Source organism: Homo sapiens, chromosome 1 (assembly GCF_000001405.40).
Source record: "Homo sapiens chromosome 1, GRCh38.p14 Primary Assembly".
Classification (NCBI taxonomy): Eukaryota; Metazoa; Chordata; class Mammalia; order Primates; family Hominidae; genus Homo; species Homo sapiens.
The window spans coordinates 175,865,049-175,887,573 of record NC_000001.11 but is presented as its reverse complement, the minus strand read 5'-3'; the positions used below and the strand labels follow the sequence as shown (position 1 = coordinate 175,887,573).

Genomic DNA, 22,525 nt, shown 5'->3' with positions numbered 1-22,525 from the left:
CAGCCACGCTGGAGCCTTAACCTCCAAGACGTCTGATGGGGAGAAGAGGCACAGAGCCCCCTTTCTCCCTGGGAAGCTGCTGCCTTTCGTGGGGGACCTATGTAGGTCTAAGAGCTAATCATACTAAAGGGAAAGTTAAGCACAGAATAGTCCTCTCCCCACTGTCACACTAGCCCAATTCCACAACTGTTGTTACTTTTCTTTAAAAAAATTGACCTGGCATGGTGGCTTATGCCTGTAAACCCAGCACTTTGGGAGGCCAAGGTGGGTGGATCACCTGAGGCCAGGAGTTGGAGACCAGCCTGACTAACACAGGGAGTCTCATCTCTATTCTACTAAAAATACAAAAATTAGCTGGGTGTGGTGGTGTGTGCCTGTAATCCCAGCCACTTGGGAGGCTGAGCCACGAGAATCACTTGAACCCAGGAGACAGAGGTTGTAGTGAGCCGAGATGGTACCCCTGCACTCCAGCCTGGGAGATAGAGTTAGACTCTGTCTCGAAAAAAAAAACAATTTACCTTAACATATTTATTCAGTTGCTACTAGGGTATGTATACCGTTTCATATTCTGCCATTTTCATAAAATACTATTTCCCCACATCTCTGCATAGTCTTCCTAATTCCATTATAATGGCTGCATAGTACCACATCCTGTGGCCTGGGTTCAAGTCTCTGTCTTCCACCAGCATGCTGCAGGCACCCTAACATGCCATTGTTCCTCTCCATGAGCTGATCCTGTCCCCATGGGCCTGGCATGCTTGTCCATCATTTTGTTTTATCTTCTAGCCCTTGCACTAGATATAACCATACAGTATCCCTGTCATTTGGGGCATAGATAGGCTAACACTTGCTTTATGGCACTGTCCATAGGGGGCTGCAAAACAGAAGAGCTATTTTAGCTGTTATCTGTTAGACCGCTCTTTGCTAATCACCACTACCATTTATGGAGCTATCATGGGCCAGTCTTAGATTGGGCATTTGGTGCGACTTATCCCAGGCAATTCTGAAAGCAACTCTATGAGATATCCATACACCAGTCCACATTACAGATGAGAAAACTCAGGCTCAGAAAAGTTAAGCAAGTTATCCAAGATTACACAGCATTTACAGGACAGAGAGGGATTCAGGCTCAGGTCTGGGGCACTGCTAAGTTTCTGCTTATGTCGCTCTCTTACATTTCAAGAAATGTAATCCGTCTCACGTGTATTTGAGCCCCTGCAAAATAAGCCTTAATGTAATGGAGTTGTAGCAAACCTTACTGATTTTGTATTTCTCCAACCCAGGCCTAGTGATAGGCTTTTTCTCTCTTATGTTGGTTGAAAAACATGCCCTCTCAACCCACTGTGCAGACTGAGCAATTGATGCATAGGCACAGGAGGCCACTAGGCCAGAGAAAGGTGGGGGATTAGAACTCAGGTCACATAGTGTCAGAGAGCAGATGGAAGGCCAAGAGGAGAAAGGGGTCATCGGGGAGATGCCTGTGGTAGGCAGGTCTGTCTGCAGTTCAGCTCCTGTGAGGTCCTGGCACCAGGGTCAAACCATCTCCCATCTGTACCTTCTCATTCTACCTTTCAGGAATAGCTTTTGCCCAGGCTCTGCAGCCCAACATTGCCCTCGCTGTGGGCCCAGCTCACATAGCCCTCCTGCCTGGCCTCTCCTGACCTTTCCTGCCCCACAGCAATCATGCACTCCTCTGAACTCCTCTGCAATTACAATTTAAATAATTCATTTGGCAATTAATCATATCTTGCCTTGTGACATCTCTTCTGTTCCACGTTGAGCTGTTATTTAGAAGTGCAATTGTTTAACTTCCCATGAGCAGCATATGCTGCCTTGCTAATCTAGTCCAGTTTTTTGTTGTTTCTTTCCTGGCAGTCAATCAAACCAGGGGTAACAATTTGAGGCCCCATTGGTGGGGGGTAGGCAGTGGGCAGAGATCCCCATTCAGGAGGCCATGGAGCAGGCAGCCAAGAGCCCTCTGACAACAGCCTCTTAGAGAGCAAGACTGCCATCACACTCCTCAGCCTCCTTTTCTCCTGATTCCCCCAGTTATGAAACAGCTCTGGATACAAACAATCTCAGGAATTTTCCATGCATTTGTACAGTCTCCTTGACTGGATTAGATTTCCTGTGGGCAAGGACCATTCATTCTATTTTCAGTGAGGCTGCCTAACATGATGTGGCAAATCCTGAAATGAGGGAGAGAAGCCTGAGAATTGAGTCCCAGCTCTGCCACTTACTACCCATCAGCCCAAGTAAGTCATTTTACTTCTCTCAGCCTCAGTTTTCTCATTTCTAAAAAGGGGGAAAATACCCATCTCATGAAAGTGTTAAGAGAATCATGGAACAAGTGCTTATATTCACACTGTATATGTACTCTAAGCAGCTTGCACACATCAACTCCTTTAATACTCATATTCACTCAAAGTAGATTCTATTATTATTTCCATTATACACAAAAAGATTAACAAGTGAGGAGCAAAATAAGTGGGGGTGTGTTCTTTAGGGGATACAAGGAAGGCCTGCCAAGAACAATGGCGAGGGACGAGTTTCACGCCTGTTGGGTGTCTGGGTGTCAGTGGGGGGAGATGGGTGGAAGGAGAGGTAGATGGAAGCAGGCACTGGGCAGGGTGTGGCCCTTGAATGTTCCCAGGAGTTTCCAGGCTTTAGGCCTGAGATACAGAGGGGAGAATGGGAGTTGGGATGGTTCCAGGCTTCAGTGAATTCCAAGATCAATGTATTTGCTTGAGGTGAACTTGACCTGGGAGGAGAGGAGTAACCCCAAGGCAGTCACAGATGTCTCTGGAGAGTGAAAATGAGAAAAACGTGTCCAGAGGGTTTTATCCATCCCCATCCCTCCTAAAGGTGAGGGCTAGAAGTTATTTTACTGTAACTCAAGCCTGGGGAGGAATCATAAGTCTTTTAGCACCATGAGTGTGGGAGCTGCACTAACAAGAAGTCTTCTTTTCCCTGTAAAAGATCCCATTGTTTGTAGATGGTCTCAGGGAACATAGCCCAGCTGGAGGGCCTCTTCTCCGGCCCTGACACTAGTCCGGCCCTGACAGTAGTCCTCCTCTCAGGATCGGTAGTGCCTCCTTCTCCCCTCCCAAATGCAGCAACCTAGCTAGAAAAACAGACAGGGACTGATACAGCACACCAGGTGCTGGCCAGGAGCAGATGGGATCTCAGGAGAGGAAGACAACGGGTTAAATGGAAGAGGGGAGGGAGAGGGTCTGGGGGAGGCTGTCCATTGACCAAGGACATGGCCAAGTGTAGGCTCAAGAATTCTGGACCTCTAGCGGGGTGCAATGGCACCTACCTGCAATCCCAGCTACTTGGGATTGCTTCAGTCCACTAGTCTGAGACCAGCCCGGGTGAGACCCTGTCTCGGGAAAAAAAAAAAAATTGTGGACCAAAAAGGGCTTGGAAACAATTGGATAGACTAGGAAAGCTGTTTCTGACCCCTGCATCTTTGGGGTTCAGCATGGTAGCCACTAACCACAGGCGGCTTTAAGTACCTGAAATGGGACTTTTCCTGAGATGTGCTGTAAGTGTAAAATGCACACCAGATTTCAAAAACCTGGTATGAGCCAACAGAATGTAAAATATCTCATTATTAATTTTTAAATATTGATTACATATTGAAGTCATATTTAGGATAATACTGGGTTAGGTAAACATTATTATTAAAAATCCCTTTTACCCGTTTTTTGAAGTGTTTTTCCTGCTTACTAGAAACTAAAACTACGAACATGGCTCGCATTATATTTTTATTGGGCAGGGCTGCTCAGCCCTTTTGGTGCCCAGATGGTTACAGGCTGAGGGGAAAGCATTCTGTTGTAGACTCTACCCCATCCCCCAGCCTTCTGAGTGGGGTCACAGGAATCCCAGGACCCCTAGAACATGGCCTTGACCTACAGGGGGAGAACAGTGGGAGAGAAACAGGGAATAAGTGAGGGAAATGAGGCCAAAAAGGATGATTCTGGTTCTTGAGTCTACCTGGTTGGTTAGTGGCAGAATCTAAAGCACTATTGTAGAAACTATGGGGCTAAAGGGATGAGGGAAATACAGCCGCTCGTCTTCTGGGGGCTCACAGTCAAGTGAAAGTGGGTGAAACTGAGGCATCTTAAATGAGCATCTGTAGGAAGTGATCAAAAAGCACTGCCATACAGCCTGGGGGTCCTCATTGATGAAGAAGCCTCTCAACCTGAAGGCAGCGTCTGGAGAGAGCCAGGATGCTGGAATCAGAGGGAAAGAAGAGAAGAGGGACTCAACATTTGTTCAGAGCCCCTTTTATTCATTTAAGCCTCAGAAGATAATCATGTTTGGTGCTACTGCCCCCAATTGTGGATGAGGAAAACTGAGGCTTAGACAGCCAAAGTACCTTGTTCAGGGTCAAGAGCCACTACCTCCCAGAAGATGAGCTGTTTGAGGGGCTCTGCTACTTGCTAACTGTGTGGCTTTAGGAAACGTGCAGGACTTCTCTGAGCCTGTCTCCACCTCTCAACAGGCTATTATGAAGACTAGATGAGATGATAATTGGGAAATGCTTCATAAATGGGAACTGTAATGCCTTCGTATCCAGCTCACAGGAGATGCTCAACATGCTGACTATTCCCAAATGTAGATCTCTAGCCTGCACATTTTCACTTGGATGTTTAACAGGCATCTTCTTAAACTCAATGCACCCAGAATTAAACTCCTGATATTCCCCTCCAAATCTGCTCCACATTCTAAGTTGCCAAATCCTTAGAAATATGTTTGAGTCTTCTTCTTTAGTGTACCTCTATATCTAAGCCACCAACAAATCTTATTGGCTCCTACTTTCAAAATATATCCAGAATCCAAGTGCCACTACCATCGTGGTCTGAGCTGCCATCCACTCTCCCCTGGCCCTCTGGGCAAGCCTCCCAATTCCTCTTCCTGCTCCCACCCTTGCCCCTGTACAGTCAATACTCCACTCAGCAGCCAGAGTAACCTTTTTAAACATAGGTCAGATCACAAGCCTCCTTAAACAATCCGGTGGCCCCCACTGCACTCAGAGTAACAGCCAAAGTCATTGTGTCAGCCCACAGGCCTGCATAATCTGGCCTCTCACCTCCTCCCCTCCCTTCCCTCCTGCCACTGTGCTGCCCTCACTCAGCTTCAGGCCCCACCCTTGTTGCTCCTCACTATGGTGGCTCCCACCTGCCACAGGGCCTTTGCACTTGCTGCTCATGCTTCCTGGGCTGCTCTGCCCCCAGATGCCTGCATGGCTTGGCTTGAGCTTTCACCTCCTTTACCCTCACTCCCTCACCCCAGGACTCCCTATCCTCTGTCTGCTTTATTTTCCTTCAGAAAACTTAAAACTGCCAATATATTATGTTACTTATTTGTTTTCCCCCTCTGCAATTCCTCTACTCCCCCATAATACTTAAGAATTTTGTCTGTGTCTCTGATTTTTAGAACAATGTCTAGATACAATAGGCTTTTTGAAAATGCTTGGTGAATAAATGAATGAATGTGGAATGATTGACCGGGCCACCCTACCTCCACCACCACTCCAGACTTGTTAGGAGGGTAAAAGAAGACACTGCAGTCCTAGGAAGGGGGTGGGCTACAGTGGAAACTCAGCACTTTGTCACTTAAACCTTGAGGCCTTTTCATCTCATTCTTTATCATGAAAACACATCTCTCGCCTTCCAGCACAGTCTGTTCAAAATCAGTAAAACACAGCCTGTTTCTTGCTCTCTGTAAAAGCCCCATTGCTTTGCCATGTCTCCCTTGAGGCAGGACAGGTCTGCACCCTTGGTTGAGGCTGGAAACTCAGCAGACCAGGGATGTTTTCCTGTTTCATTTGGAGCAGGGAGCAGAGGTGTCTGCCCTCAGGAAGGGGCCATCGGAGCTACTGTATCTGAATGGGAGGGCTCTGGAGAAGATGGCTCGGGAAAGGCAGCAGAGGCGGCTGCTCACAGTCCTCACAGGACAGCTCAGGAAGAAAGATGCTGGCAGGTGGGACAGAGGGACGTCGAGGTATCTCCCTCAGACAGGTAAGGCAGCAATAAATTGGGACCATCTGTGTCATTATTAGACATTCTAAGTAGAGCTAGGATCCCAGAACAAAGAAAACAGCCCTTCAAAGGGAGCGGGGGGGAAGAGAGAGAGAAAAAAAAGCAAACCACAAACACAACAGCCAGCGATCTGCTCTCACACACACACCCCTCACCTAATCATAAAAACATATTCCAAACAGGTTCCACAGCTGTCCTTGGGAGGGGTATTTGAAATACATATCCCTGATACATCCCTGAAATGTTAACTGTCAGATCTCTCAGGAAATGGCTCTGCCTAAACAGACTTTCCTGGACTTCCATTTCATGAATGTTGAAAACAGAATTTTTATGAGACAAAGCCAAACAGAACCGGTGACAATTGTTCTTGAAATTACTTTCCTGGTCTCTTCCCCAGTATCCTCCCTCCCCCACACCATCATCCCCACACCAGCCATGCCTCCCTCACTCCCCAGAGACCACTCATGTCACTTGTGGAGGCTCAGACGTTGTTGTTTTTATTATGTGGTGCCAGGCATATAAGGAGAGGCAAGTGTATGTGGGGACAGGCTCAACCTTGGGGATAGCAGCAAAATATAGACGTTTGAGCCCAAAGATCTGTGATTGCGAAGGCCTAGTGCTTCCAGGGCTGGTGAGCTTGTCACTCAACCTTTCTGGCCTCAGTCTTGTCATCTGCATGATGGGACTAATGGTGATCCCTGCCCATGGTTGTGGTGAGGATTTGAGGAGATAATGGATGTAAATAGGTAGCGTGTCATTAGATCCTTGAGGAGGGCTTTGAGGACCCTTTTCTTACTGAGCCTGGAGGCAACCACAGAAGGCTTCCCTGCCAGCTTCTTGTACCTGAGCCACATTGCCCTAGGATCACTGCTATTCTCGTCTTTAAAATGTTTTATTTCTCCCAACTTCTTGACAAAAAAAAAGAGGTGGGCTCGATAAGAAAGAAGAGAGAAGGGAATGAAATGAAGGAGTTTGGTGCAGTTGACAGGGAAGAAAGAGACAGAAAACAGACATGTGTCAAGAGGTTTCTCTGTGTGAGACACTGAGTGAGACACTTTATGAAATTTCAGCCAGCTCTCCCAACCTCCCTGCAGGAGGTGGGTGCTCTTAGCCTATATTATAGAAGGGAAGCCAAGGCTCAGAGTTGAAAGAATTTGCCTAGAATTATGGAGCTGGGATTGAATCCAGACCTATCTCCTCTTGGCCCTTCTGTTGTATCTGCACTGGAAGGTCAACACATTTGGGCTCTAGTCCCTCCTCTTCCACTGATTTGCTGCGTTAGCTCAGGCTAATTATCTCATGTCTCTGGGCTTTTGTCCTGTCACCTGTAAAATGAGCAGTATGGACCAGAGAATCCCAGTAATAAGGCTTAATCATGGGGTAGATTGTGTTATTGTCAAGATATTTGAAGAAAAATTATACCTCCTGTCCTACCGACAGCAGGCTGGCCTGTGTGACTTGCTTTAGCTGATACAATGTAAATGGAAGTGACATGGACTTGGTTCAAGCAGAAGCTTGAGGATCCATCACATGGCTCTGCCATTGGTTCTTCCTCCATCAGGTGAGACTTCTCAGTTCTGGGATGAAGAGGATGTGGAACAGGCCTTGCCAACCTGCCATGCACATGAATATGAGCAAGAAATAGCTCTTGGCTATTGTAAGCCACTAAGATTTGGGATCATTTGTTACCATTGCTGAACTTAGCTTAAGTTGACTGAAACAAGGATTATGTGAGAAAAAGGGAAGGAGGACAGGAAGGATTATGCCCTAAGGAATGAGCCACCTGGGAAGAAAATGGCTCATTGAGCTACCTGAATACCTAAAGCCCTATCAATCTTCCAGAACATGATGCCCAAAGAATGCAGGCAGATTGAGAGCACAGGGGGAGTCGGGGGAACCCAGAGGCTGGTGGTGGTGGTGAGGGGCACTAACATCTCAGGATAAAGGAGCACTTTGGCAAGAAGTTTGGGAGTCAGCCGATCACGCATGAGAAGAGTATGGAGAGAAATACGGGATATAAGTACTTATGAAGATTTTGCAAGATGTTTCTTTTGTTTCTAAAATAAAACAATTTTGTAGGGTAGGAGAGACTCTTAAAGCTCTTTTAGGACAGCCCTCTTCATTGACAGGTAAGAGAATTGAGGCTTTGAGAAGCTGGACACCTTATTGAAGGTAGCACTGCAAGTTAGCATCAGGGTTGGGACTTGGGCCCAGGCTTAAGGAAGGCTAGTTTTAGTTGCACCTTTTTGTTTCCCTTTAGTGATAACAGTAAAGCCTTTTTAGAAGAAAGGGCAGGTTGTTTGATTTGAAGGACAGCAAGCAAGGTGGGCGCTGGGGCCTTCTAGGGAAGGAAAGCAGGTGAAGTTCCCCGAGTCAAGGGAAGACAGGCAAGGGAGACAGGCACCTGGTAATGGTGGGCAAGTGAGCCTGAGGGTTTAGCCAGAGGCGTGGGCTTCCTGGTAAGAGAAAGGAGGCTACCAGTACACAGCAATTCAGCTTTTTCTGTTGAGGGCCTCACGTGCACAGGCTTTGTGTTTCCCACTTGCCGTACTTTATCTCACGCCAGTCTTACGACACAAGCATTCTAAGTCACATTTAGCATATGAGTCAATAGAGGATCAGGAAAGTTAAACATTTGCCAAGATCTCACAGTTGCTCAGCGGCAGAGCTGGGATTTGAACCCACGTCAGTGTGACTCCAAAGTTCCTGCTAAGGGAAGGAAACAGTTGCTAAGGTGTAAGCAGAGGAAACAGTTGCTTAGGGCCAGGACTCCTAGGCCCCAGTAGCCCTGACTCAGTGTGGTTGCCAGAGCTTTCTGCCAGCAGTTTCCCAGGCGAGGGCCCCTGGAGCTCACAAGCCCATGGCCAGGCCTGCTTGGGAACCCTTTGTCACATTAGCTTGCATTGCCAACTCTCCCCAGCAGTGCCCTCCCCACTTGCACCAGCCAAGGAATGAGTCAAGGTTGCCAATGTGTTCTTGGCTGCCTGGAAGCATCCATGTGGATTTCGGCATCTCCTGGGCCACCTTCTCGTGACGAACACCAGCCTGCAGATCACCGCTATAAGAGTTCTAGAGGGAGGGCTTGGGCGGAGGGAGGGCTCCACAGGACCTGGCTGTGGGCCAAATGCTCGTTTGTGGCTGGGCATTTCCTCCCAACAAATAAACAGACAATCATTATTTTTCTCTGGCCAAATGGAAGCTGGCCTCAGCGTGCGCAGCACAAGAGCAATAATAGGGGCTTATCGACAGACAGGGAGCGCTTAATAGGCCACAGACCGATGAGGATCGAGATGGATGGAGGCTGCGCTATCGATCGCCAGAACCCCTCCGGCTCTCCCAGAGGGACTCCCTGCCCCCTGTTCTCTCTCGTGGGCACGCGATTAGCTGGACTGTGGGGAGGGCTGTGCCCTTCTACCCAAATTCCAAGGGGAAGGAGCATATTTGTAATTGGGAGAAACATAACAGACTATCAAAAGTACATGACCTCAGCTACAAAACTTGGGTACATAAGCCATGGTTCTATTTTCCTTCTACACCAGTGCAAAAATAGCAGATTTTTCATCAAGATAGAAAGCAAGACTACCATAAAAGTAGTCCCCCTATTCTTATCCCTTTATAGCCAGAGTCAAATAGTGGGAAGGAAATTCCCTCTGGTCAGGTTGAGCTCAGGGTCCTTGAAGCCCCTATTACCAGAAGCTGGGGCAAAAGAAGAGAGGTAACCACTGGCCGCACCCGTCTGTGGCCTGTGGCCTGTGGCCTGTGGCCAGAGCACGGAATGACAATGCACCAGGAACAGAGGCCAGCCCAGCCCTGTGGATCTAGGTCCACCGGACCCCTGAGGGTCAGTGACAGCCTTAAAGTTGTGGGAGACGTATGAGTGATCCATAGCATTGATGAGATTGGCAGAGGAGTGGGCACACATGAAGTACCTGGATCTTGTGCACCATCCCCCCTTTCCTGGTGTGGACGTGGGGGGCTCCTTTTTGTGCTTGTCAGCACAGCTGTGAGAAGAGGTCCCTGCATCTCACTTGCCCTCACCTTCTTTCGGCCTCCAGTGCCAGTGAGCAGCCCCATGCCCTGTTTCTTGAATGCAGGAGCACGTTGTGCTGAACTGATAAGCCTGCAGAGCCCACCAGGCCCTGACCTCCAGCCCCTCCTGGGGAGGCAACTCTAGCCCCACTCATTCACAATACCCATCACATGTAAAGGGACTGGCCTTGCAAGAGCAGCTCCTCCCTGCCAGTGTGACCTCATCTAGAGTGCATCAGGATGCCCCATGAGCGGCCCAGGCCTCATTGTCACTGTGGACAGGATGGGCAGGGTGGCCTGCAGGTAGTGCTCCTGCCTAAGGAACTGCCTAGTGGCTTTGATGATGCTGAGGATTAATTGGTCTCCACTCAGGCCTCCTTGAGGGAATCACAAGCCGGGTTTTAGCAGGGCTTTCTGGAGTCTTCAGAAGAGAGTCACTGGATAATTGGGGGGTGCCTAGAAATGGTCCCAGGGTGAAGTGAAGAAGCTGGAATTAGCCTGAAGATGGGGAGGTGGCAGGGTGCTGAATAGATGAGGGTTTTCCAGAGTATGGATGGCTGCCATTGGCCAGAAGCATCTTCTGCCAGGAAAGCCTTGAGTTTGACAATAAACTTTGGAAGCCAGGGATTCCTGAGGGAGATGTTTGCTTCTAGGTGGGGTCAATGAGGTGACTTGCTGTCACCCTTTGGGAGCCACCTTTACCTAGGTGAGAGCACCATTGCACTAGAACTATGCGTGTGCGGGCCTGGTGGCCTGGGGCATAGACAGGATAACCTCTCAAGGCTTCTGTCAGTCTACGAGTGAGCTTTCCTGCTCGGCTCAGGGGTCAGGTGGCAGCTGCGGGAGTGGTCCCTGGTAACAGATATGAGGGTTGCCACACAGTATGGGGTCAGCGTGTGGCAGCTGCAGGAGCTGGGAAAGCCAGAAAGACAAGCCCAGGGCCTTTCCCAGGGAGAATAGGAGGAATCAGGCCAAAGCATGAAGCTAGGCACATGCTGCACAACATCTCCAGCTGAACTGAGGATCCAGAGACAGGAAGCCAGGCTAATTAGGGGGCCAGGATGTGCCGGGATTGGAGCTGACTGTAGAAGAGGCTAGTTTTGCTGAAGGCCTCCTGGGGGTAGCAGGATAAAGTAGAGGAACGAGCCCAACCTTAGGAGCTGGGAGGCCTGAGCTCTCACCCAGCCCAGCCACTTCATAGTTCCGTGGCTCTGGGCATGCTACTTCTCCTTCGTGAGCCTCAGTTTCTTAGCTACAAAGTAAGGAGAAATACTATATTGTTGAGGGGAATGTAAAGCCTATAGCACCGTGTCCGTTATTCAGGAAGCACTCAACAGAGGACAAGATGCTGAGGTCAAGACACCCTCTCTTCCATCACGGTCTTCTCTGACCTCAAACATACCACTTCCCAGTGTACTGGGTCAGCGCCTGCATCCAGATGTCCCTGGTGCAGAAGCAGATTGGCTGGGCCATCACACACCCAGAGGGAGCCGTGAGGCCAGAAAGGTAGACGGGAAAGGTACTCTGGTGCTAACTTGAGTTGGGTAGATGTGGGAAAGGAGACCTGACTCACAGCATCTGAGTTGGTGGAATAAAGCGATGCTGTATTAGCGACCCAAGTCTGGCCTTGTGCTGGGATTTTTTTTTCCCCTGATGAAGGAAATGTTTATTAGATTTAGATCTATCCAGCTGGACTCTGTTAGCTAATCCTGATTTTGTTGTCAGCACTCACAGTGCCACCATCTAACATGTGTCTCCTCTCCATCAAGCCTGGGTGGGGTGGGATCCCCTCCGGAGTGGTGTGTGAGCCTCCCCAGAGCTTACCCAGCTGGGCGCCTGTTCCCTGATGAGAACCCACGTGGCATTGACCTGTCTTCTTTATGGTTCACTCTGTGGCTGGTGGCATTGGATTTGCATCAAGGTGGTCTCGAGGATGGTCTTCTGAAAGTTCTTAGGGTGTCTTGGGTCCTGGAAGATGGGTGACATATGGATCTATTTCTTTCTTATGGTTATAGGCCCTTTCAGCACAACCTCTGTGGCCTTCAAAGCTTTTGCCTTGGTTTCAGTTTTGGGAAGGGCTAGGGCTTCCTTCTTGCTTTGAGCACCATATTGACAGAAAGGAGTGTCTGAGTCTATCTGACAGCCTGGTATAGCAGCGCCATCCCGAGCTGGTCTTCATTAGAGACAATGTATTGGCAAAGACTGAAGGGGCTTCCATGGAAACAGGAGAGGAAAGGAAAAGACTTCACGATACTGTCTGAGACCCTGTTCCCCTGGCCCAGTCCTGCACCTAAGGCAATAGAAGGGAGTCTGCAGTGGAAAAAGAAGTCGCTGTTTTCCTGGAGCCTCCGTGAAGAGGAGGCAAAAGCATCCTCAAAGACAAACTACATCACTTCACAGCAGTGGTCAATAAGGCACCATGCTCCACTGGCTTCAATTCGTCGACAATGGAGGGACATGTGGGAGAGCATGAGAAGGCACTGCACAAGCTCCTGTGAGACTTCGCAGGGGTCTCCAAAATACATCTACGAAAGACCTTGTGAAAGAAAGGGGCTGAGGAGGCTGCAAGTGCAGGCAGAGCCCCAGCCAGTGAACCCCAGATGATTGCAGGGAATGCTGCTCCACTGGTGCCACTGGCTTGTGAGTGCTGGGGATCTCCAAGAATCATGTCACATTAGGGTCCTCTCTCTGTTTCACATCTAAAGACAAAATGAGGCCCAGTGGCCACTCCAGGGAAGAAGCCAATTCATGAATTTCTTTTTAGTCTACACTAGATAAGTTCATTAACTGGCCACTTGTTCTACTTGTAGGCTGTGCTTCAATCCCTGCCATTAATTGTCATGAATAAGTCATAAAGGTTGACCTTCACAATTCTGATAGTTTATCCCAGGGAACCAAGCCACAGACAACACTTAGATTTGTAGACTCTTGCGAGTTAGACCAACAGGTCTCCTTGCCACTATCCAGGGTCCTTCTAATGGCTCTTTGCCTGGACTTTGTCAGCACTAGAGTCTTTGCCCCATCTTTTTGTCTGTTCCAAATTGCACCAGTAGTATGCTCCATCTAGAGTGATTTTCTGGCCAGACATCCCCCTACCAACCTCTTACCAAAACCTGAGATCTAGTATATGATTCAAGAAACTGACAAAGAGGCCCAGAGGCTGGTCAAGGCTTAGTCATCCTGCCTGATGCCCAGTTCCCGCCTAGACTCTTGCCCTCATTCCTGGAATCCACCTGGAATCCTTGGCAGGTGATCTGCTCTGATGTGCATCAGGTTTCTCTGATAGGGAATTGCAGGCTGCTGGTGTCTTCAGGAACAACCAGTCATGTCAGGCATCAACATAACCACACGCTGAACATTTAAACTTTAGGGACCAAATTACAAGTAAAAGAATAATTAGCACATTTCTAATTGCTCTTTCTAACTGTGAACAACAGGCACAGACATAAAGTGCTTGTACCAAACATGTAAGCCTCACTCTGAAACAGGAGAGGGGAGTCTTCTCCCTCCAGGAGCCGGCAGAGCACCCCATGTTTATAAGTCAAGTCAGGCAAAAAGGAAAGAGCTGTGACCAAATCTAACCGACTTAACATTTCCAGCATGTCTCTCTTTGTGGTTATTTTCTTATCAAAGATTTATATCTGTCTCATAAGTATCTTTAAATCCTTGGTCTCTTGTGAGGCCTAAAGCCAGGAATTGACATTCTTTAATGTAAATAGGAAATATTACAGAATGAGTTGAGGTCGGTTTTTAAAAAAATTGCTTTCTTGACTTCTAACCCTGCAGTCTTGCTGACGATTTAATTCTACTTGCAGTTGCTCAGGAACAAGCCTGTGATTTCTTCACTGTGACACTGGGATTTAAACACAAACCATCCACCACTCCAAATAGTGGCTCAGGTTGGGTCTGCCAATGACAAGTCACAAAGCAGACCTCAGAGATACTAGGGGGATGGAAGATGGGTCAGTGACAGTCACATGGGTGCGAGGAGTCCCCGGGGAGCCTGAAAATGAAACCTATTCACAACTCTAGTTTCTTGGTCTTTCCCAGGGAAAGCATTAGTAATGGGTATTGGGTCCCCGGGCCAGTCCCTAGGCACATATTAAATCCACAGTGTCTTCAGGCTAGTTCTGCTGCAGCTCTATATATTGAACAGTGACACTGTGCTATTTTAGAAACATTACCTCTCCTGATGCTCACTAGCCCCTAGCAATAAGGCAGACACTGAGGCATAGGGAGGCTGAGAGTCTGACTGAGGTCACGGAGCTCTACCCATGAGGACAACTCTGGGAGTTTTATCTGGAGAACAGGGCCCAGCCCATGCCCTGGCTTTCACACCTGTGGTGTGGTGCTGGATTCCAGGGGGTAGAGACTGAGTGTTGGGTGGATGTGTGGAAGAGGTGGGGGGCTGAAGGGAGGAGGGGGATGAGGGGAGAGGGGACTATGGAAATGGGATGGAGAGAGGGGAAGTGAGGGCCGTTTACCTCCCTGTTCTCTTTAGTTTTTCCCTCCTTATCTCACGCTTCCTTGTCCCTTCTCTCTCCCTTTCTCTCTGGCTTCCTCCCCGTCCTGCAGTTGCCGACCCTGCCTTCTGGGAGGCCAGGAGATGGAAAGGCAGTAGAGAGGGAGGCATCTGGCATGAGTGAGGAGGGCCCCCAGAATGGTGGTGGCCCGCTACCACCAGATCACAGGGGACCATCCAGAATGTGCAGACTGTGGGGCCCAGGCCTGGAGTGGCAGCTGCTAGAAACTCATAGCAAACCTTTTAGGCTGATGAGACAGATAAAGAGAGTGTGTGTGTGTGTGTGTGTGTGTCTACAGGCATAATCAGCTCCATCATAGACAAGCTCACCCAAAGTTACCTTAAATATGGAGCTCTCCTGGCACATTTAAAACATCACTCACACAGTAGACATTCAATTTATACACCTATTTACAGACAGACTGCACAAAGTGAGAAACACCAACAGACAAGAGAACTGAAGAAATAACATCTGTTTCTTTGCTTTTCTGGGAATTCCCTCCCCATCACTCCCTTTTCTCTTCAGGCTCCATTTTTCCAAATAGTAAGGGATTCAGATTTCTATGCCTCTCTGGAGTATTGCCTGTAGACTCCGAGCCCCCGCCGAGGGCACGGGCTGTGTCTGTCTTTACACTGTCCATCCAGTGTCCGGGACATTGCCCAGCCTTGAGTAGGAGCTTAGGAAATAGTTAATGAAGACTGAAATCATTTCCCTTCCACCATGCCTTGTCTTCTTCCCTCCCTGCCCCTGACCCCAGTCCCTCAGTCCCCCAGTTCCCCAGTTGCCCATTTCCCCAGTCCACTTGTCCCCCTGTCCCCCAGCCTTTCATCCTGCAAGCTCCCACACCATGATTCTATCATTTGTCTTTTGTCTTCTGGGTTCATGCTCTCAGGCTCCACAATACAACTGTGAAGTACAGCGGCCTTTGGGGATACAGAGGGGGAGGAGGACAGAGAAAGGTGGGGCCCTTCTGTTTCTTCTCAGTGTCCAGGGCGCTTTGGGCTCCAGGTGGGCCTCAGGAGCTGGTATCTGGGAGCTTGGAGGGCTACTGAGAGGAGAGACTATTTCTGGATCACAGCAGAGAGAGCTCCTGAGGCTGGTTGGGAGGGTATTTATAGAGCCAACCTTGGAGAGCAGGGATGCTCATATCCCTGGAACCTGCCCCCGCGTAGAAGTTTCTAAAGATAGATCAGTGTGGCATCTGGTATGAGACAAGGTACACTAATTCCTTTTAAATCCACCACCAAGAACTTTCTTCTAATAAATGCCAGCCTATTTTCTCAGGGCTACTTCTTCCTTCTCCCCTCAACATCCCGCCCTGTCCTGTCAGTAGTCTTGGTTACTGGTGGGTAACAAGGGGCACTGAGGGAGCAAGCCAGGGAGCGACTTGCTTAAGGTGACCCAGCCTGTCTGTGAAGGCCCCCAACCAAGGGCTAGAATCAGCAGCAGGTGGAAGAAGGGGAAGGCAACTCACATTTTTGAAAGCCTGTCATATGCCAGCACAGTGCTAGGTGACTTATGCACTGTGTCATTTAATCCTTGCACCACCTCTGTGAGGCTGGTGGTATAATGCCCATTTTACAAATGAAGAAATGAAGACTCAGTGACTTGCCTAAGACTGCTCTAAACTGATGGAGTAAAGATGCTACTCACCCAACTCAGCCTAAGGGACTGGGAGAAAAGTAGGTGTATAGTGGTATTTATTCCCAAATTTCAGATATGCATTTAGATTCATTATCCAAAAAGCTAATGGGTTTTAAGATATTTGGTGCCTGCTATGTTACTGCTTTTCTCTCTCCCCTTTTGCCGTGAAATGAGAACAGTTTCTACAAATCAGGTCTAGGGGCACAGCTTCTCAGGTGTGGGGACAGATTCATTTCTTACCCCAAATGCAGCCCCTTCTTAGCTGTCCTATGAAATGCCCCTCCCACTACTTATCCATCACCTTGGCTGAATGAGGAATTAAATGAATGGGAGGGTACTTGTTGAGCACCTATCATGTGCTGGCTGCTATCTCTATCTCATGAGTCAACACATTGTTCTATCTCATCTTACCACTATGGCAACCCCATGAGATCAGTGTTTTCTCTTCTGTTCGCAGATGAAACTTGGGCTTGGAGAATGAAGTAAGTTGCTCAGTGCCCCACCGATAGTAAGATCAAGCTGAGATCCCACCCTCTGGAACGTGTGTGCATAGAGCACCTATTGACTTCCTTGCTCCAGCTGCATCTGGACGCAGTGATCAAATCCAGTGGCAGCCTGTTTGGTCTGGTGTTTTCGCTGCTTCTCTATCAACTGCTCCACATCCGATGCCTCACCTGTGCAGTGGGTAATGGGATTTGATGGTTAAGGTGACCACAGCTCAGCCAAGCCACAGGCCATTCACCCCTATCCCACAGCACATGCTGCTTCTGGCTTAGGTTTGTAGGGGCATCATGGTCCTCAGTGTTTGAACGTGAATGGGGTGGCCAGGGCTGCTGGAGGCCTACTCCTCTCTAAGCCTGCAGAACTCCTCTGGAGGCCTTGGCAACTCTAGCTCCAGGCCCTGATGGGCAGACCTTGGCACTTTTCCTGGGAAGGCAGGAGCAGGAGATCAGCGTGACAGAACTGGCTCATGAGAAAGGGAACTCATAGTCTGCAGTATCCCAGCTGAGAACGTTCCAACCTGTCCTTTCTGATAAATTTAGCTCTATTCACCTGTAAGGGCCTATCTGAGTCCTCCTTCTTCTGGAAAACTCATTTCTTTTTCTCAACCTACCATTGCACGTGTTGTGTGCTCTACACACTTTGGAAGTACAATGAACTTTAGAGTATGCAGTCCAACCTCCTAGCCAATTCTGGAATCCCTTCTTCATCTTCTCCACTGTATTCATCCTCTGCTTGATTCCCTACCTTTTAAAGTAGCCCATTCCTTGATGAGATAGCTCTAAGCAATCAAAATTTTTTCCTCTCTTTGAGCAGAAATATGCCTCTGGACTTGGTTCATGAGAAGTCTTCAGATCTTTAAAGAGAACCACTGGGGCCCCTTGGGGGTCTCCCCTTCTCCAAGAAAAACCTGAGGAACCTCAAGTAACATGGTCTCCAGACTTTCAACACCCCCTGAGAATAGCTTCTTCATGTCCCTGTAAGTGGTTCCCAGACCTTAGTATAAATCACAATCGACTGGGGTGCTTGGTAAAAATACTGATTTTGGGGGCCTCATCCTGGAGGGAGGTGGGGAACATGTGTACTTTTTCAGCAAGTGGAGAAAGCAAACCCCAAACAGTGTGTTTCCTAAATGCTGTGCCTTCAGAAGACAGTGCCAAATGGGGCTATTTGCAGTTGTATTGGGGAATGTATATTCAAAAGGTTTAAATGACATCATTTGAGCAGTAACTCATAGAACACTAGGATAGTCTCCATTACCCTTGAAAAAATGACCAAGGCTCATTAAAAGCAAATTTAAGCTAGAAAATATACAAATTAACCAACCATAGTTTTGAAACGCTTTTCTTGCTAACATATTACATCTGCTAGGCTGGAGGCTTGGAATTACCGCATGAGGCATGTGCAGAATTGCAAGGGCCAAGATCTAAACGAAGACCCCTGCAAAGCTACCCAAAAGTCAAGTGGCATGGCAGGAGACATCCTGAACTTCTGGGGAGAAGCAGGTGGCAGGGGGATGTGGAAGCCCCACCTGGGGCTCCCTGCATTTATGTACAGTGTCACAATTAATCCTCAGAGCAGCACTGACAGAGAGTTCATTCTCATTCTATAAGGGAGGAAACTGGGGCTCAGTGTGATTAAGGCACATGATTACAGCAGGTCTTGCAGTAAACACTCCAAACACATGCTCCTTTCCTTCCACCACAATGCATTATTATTCATTCTCTTTTTGTTTCATGTGTGAAAATCTCAGGTCCCCAGGAAACTATGTAATCACAAGGCCCAGACCATGCCTCTGACCTCTCCCACCCTCACCTTACCCCACAGGCAGGGTGGGCAAACCAGTGGCACTCAGGAAAGTGTGCCGAAGTGAATTGCACTGGTTCCTAGTACTGTGTGATTCATGAGGATGTATAGGGAGAGAAAGTGAGGATGATGCTCTATGACTCCTCTTGCTGCTCTGTGGCTACAAATACCTGCCCCCTTGCCCAGCTGCCCCTGCCTATTCCTCAAGAATGTTCAGGGAAGGGTCCCTAAAGAAAGGTACTAGATATTGCACCAGCATTATTATAATTATTATTAAAATCCCCTGGTTTTGCCAGGGCCCCATTGTTACTCAGAAGGAGTCTCTCAACCTAGCCCTGGCTTTTGACCTTCAACTCCCTACATATCCTGGTGCTCTTTGCTTGTGGAAATGAGTTAAATGCTTGAGCTCTTGCATAGGATCATGATCAAACTTTATATTAGGAAGCAGATTTAGCAGTCAGCTCTATTTTCCTTTGTGTGAACTTTCTTATCTTGTCTGCGTCCTCACTGTGACCACTCTAGTCGTGCGTTTGCTATGATGTGGAGAAGAAAATGGATGATGGGAAAGAATCCAGTGGTTTTGCATCTGCCCCAGCAGAGCTAGGGGTAGAACCTGCCATACAATTGTCCCCATGGTTCCAGTGGAGCAGCACAGGGGTCAGTAGGGGTGAGCCCAATTTCAGGAGGTTATGCCTTGCAATTGAAGGAGGATGGGCAGGGGGTCAGGGACTCTAAAATCCTAACAGTCTACAGCAGTGGTTCCCAGACCTTAGTATAAATCACAACCGACTGGGGTGCTTGGTGAAAGTACTGATTTTAGGGGCTTCATTCTGGAAATCCTGCCAATGACAAGAACCTGCGCTGTGTGCTGCTTACTACACCAAGGATGATGCTAAGAGCATTATAGGTACCAACTCACTTGGTCCTCATAACCACCCCCCAGTGAGCAAGCACTCCTCTCTCCATAGCCCATATGAAGAGACTGGAGGATAGGGAGAGGTATGGCATGTCAAAAGGCAGAGCCAGGACTTGAAGAGTCCCTGTTCTTTCCTCTCTTCCCGGGCTGGAGGTTTGTGAAGGGCCTGGGAAGCTGCATCTTCTAAGCTAGTGCAGGCAGTCTAGAGACCACACCTGGAGAGTCTGAGCTCTGAGGCTGGGGATGCTCATCACAGCCCACCTGCCCTGACACACCAGGGAGGTGTCCGTTTAGAAATTTAACCTCCTCTGTAAAATGCCCCAGGGACCCCTATCTCCTTGGGATCATAATCTTCTCAGTGACACAGTAGAGGCTGCAGAGAAGAGTGAGTCCAGGAGGGCCACATTGGTTTAGTCTGATGAGCATTGCCCACACTCAGCACTGTGGGAAGACCACCATCGTCTTTGTCTGCATCAGCAAACTTTGGATGAACCATTGAGTGCCGAATTCCACTGGGCACTGGGGACACAGAAAGGATAAGACTGGGTCCTTGAGTTTATGTGGGGGTATCAGGGGATGCTCAGTAAATGAAACCCACTCAAGTCTTTTGTCTCAGGCAGCAGAAACTCTCGGGCGTGGCCTATGAAGTCTATTCTTTGTCTTTTTACCTTTGTGGTCTCATAGCCTCCGACTCCTTGATTCATGCTTTGTATGTTAGTCCAGGTTTTCTCAAAGGTTGGTCTTTGCATATCATCTTAAAGAGACTTTCTACTATATGAGTATCACCTGCACAATTATTAACTTAATATATTTTAAACTGATTTATGCTTTTTTACTTACAATTAATTCTTTTAAAAGGAAATTTTTGTGTTAGTTACATATTTTTTTCTAATGCACAGAACAATGATTCTCAAGCATAGGATCCAGCCAGGGGTGAAATCCTGTCACTCAAATGTCCCTGTAACCCCAGTGGAATGAAGGGAACAAAGGGAGGGGTCGCCAGAGTGGGATCCCAGTGGAAGGAAATTGTAATTGAAGGAGAGAAGGAGGGGCATCCTGGTACCAGCCAGATTCATCTCAAGTCCATGTTCCATGCTTTTGGAAACACCGCTCAGGCCACTCACCCCAGCCTGTGCTTTCTGAAACAAGCTATGCTATTCTGCTCCTCTGAGTCTTCACACACCCTGTTTGCTCCTCCTGGAGGTCCTTACCATGGCAAGATACTGGGAGAAAAGAATGCATTATTGTCCATTGTACCACCTCTTCCCAACACTTTTCTCCACCTGCCTTTCTCCTGCTCACATACATTTTCTCATTCTGCCTAAAGAATATCCACTCTTCTTTGAGATTTTGCTCCACAGTGGACTCCTGGTGATGCCATACTGGTCACCCCCAGGCAGAGTTCTTCTGCCTGTCCCACTCCCACAGCACTTTGAGCATGTCTGCATGCTCTGTTAGGAAGCAGGGACTGGACAGAGACACTTATGGGCATCTCCGTATCTCCGGTGCCTAGCAGAGTTGATTTTTTTTTAAATGACAATTTTGGAACGGTCATCATATGCCAGAGTTTGTGCTAAGAGCTCCATGTATATTACATCATGCACTCCTGCAGCAACTTTTATCCCCATTTTAAAGGTAAGGAAATCGAGGCCCAGAGAGTTTAAAATTGCCCAACATCATACAGAAAGTACAGAGTAGGGATTCACACCCAGGTCTGTTGGATTTCAGGGCCTCTGCATATTAACACTACACCATTCAACCATGGTCATTGGAGGACAACGTATGCTTGGTGAATAAATAAATGGTACAAATGAATGAATGAATGAGTGAATGAAAGAACACAGAATGGTGTTTTCTGGGGCTGTACATGTCCAGCCTGAGTGACCAGTTGTACGCTGGCCCAGATTTATTAGGTGGGAGGTGATTGTAAAGTGTGTTAAGAATGAAGAATAGCATGCTCTGGTTTTGGAATGCCAAAAAAAAAAAAAAAAAAAAAAAAAGCCCAGAATTTATGGGCCAGTGGAAGTAAGAAAGGAGACAAACATTGAAGATGGCATTTTGCTTCCTGTACCCCAGCTGCCTCCAAAGGATTAACTTCTTGAGAGCAGGGCCTGCTTTGTGTCCTCACTTTATAATCCTGCTCCTGGCAAAAAGTGGGTGCTCAGTGAATGCCCACACAATTCAGTCATCAAATCTGAGCTTATTCCTTTTATTCATTGGTTCATGGTAGGCTTGGTTCAGAGCTTGGTTTCACTGTCTACTTCTGCACAGGGCTTCATCCTGCCAGCACTCAATGGAGAAACGTGGGCCCCGGCACAGTGGGAACGACCCTCTTCTGGGCCTTGGTTCCCTCTACTATAAAATCCAACTTGTTAGACTGGATTCTTGGAAGTCCTTCTTGATGCGACATTTGCCAGCCTAGGTCCAGCCAGGGGTGGGGCTTGCAGACCCAGCTCTCTGAGACACAATTGCAGGTCTTCCTGAAGGGGAGGGGGCCATTACAAACACTGTCCTCACGCCTCCAGCAGGTGACTCCTGGCACAGCTGGGAGAGTGAGCTGCTTCTTCTGCTCAGACAGCAGGCCTAGGAAATTATTCAGGAATAACAAACAGGCCAGAAACATTTGCATAAGGAATCACACAGAACAATGCTTGTTATTTAAACCATCTCTGGTTGGCAACAGAAGCAAAAAGCAGCTGAGATAAATCTGCAATGCAAATCAGCCTTATTTGGAGCGGAGCCTCAGCTTGTTTTGGGGGTGGGGGTGTTGCAAGAGACTGGGAGAACAGAAAGCATCATTGTTTCTATGTACCCCCACTTCCCAACAACACTTTTCTCCGCCTGCCCTTCTCCTGCTCACGTACATTTTCTCATTTCTCAGCTTCCCTCCCTTCTTCAGAGATTAATGGAAACAATTTGTCTTCTAATGTGACTACAGCTTATGAATTCTTTGTCTCACTCTAATCCTTTAAATTATCCACATAATAAAATATGTATCCAGTGATTTCAGGTCATAATTTGATCTTCTAGGGAAAGTGGGGAGGGGGAGGTGAGCT

General features: G+C 48.1%; 2 long non-coding RNA genes across 3 annotated transcripts, besides 1 other annotated feature; one reads left to right on the top strand and one right to left on the bottom strand.

Annotated features, from left to right (window-relative positions):
* The first annotated feature begins 837 nt into the window (after positions 1 to 837).
* On the top strand, positions 838 to 22,473 carry LOC124904458 (uncharacterized). Of its 2 annotated transcripts, none has more exons than XR_007066743.1 (2): positions 838 to 2,255; positions 16,704 to 22,473. It is a non-coding gene; the product is annotated as an uncharacterized LOC124904458 (long non-coding RNA). The 2 variants fall into 2 exon arrangements; XR_007066742.1 differs by lacking the exon at positions 838 to 2,255 and adding an exon at positions 5,273 to 6,029.
* On the bottom strand, positions 7,110 to 10,231 carry LINC01657 (long intergenic non-protein coding RNA 1657). Its single transcript, NR_125964.1, has 3 exons — positions 9,980 to 10,231; positions 7,473 to 8,759; positions 7,110 to 7,375 (listed from the first exon to the last, which is right to left on the bottom strand). It is a non-coding gene; the product is annotated as a long intergenic non-protein coding RNA 1657 (long non-coding RNA).
* Positions 14,158 to 14,217: an enhancer, noted in NCBI's record as "active region_2139". NCBI's record gives its function as "activates an Ori minimal core promoter by ATAC-STARR-seq in GM12878 lymphoblastoid cells {active_cell/tissue: GM12878}" and the evidence as "EXISTENCE:reporter gene assay evidence [ECO:0000049][PMID:35858748]".
* Positions 22,474 to 22,525: the final 52 nt, after the last annotated feature.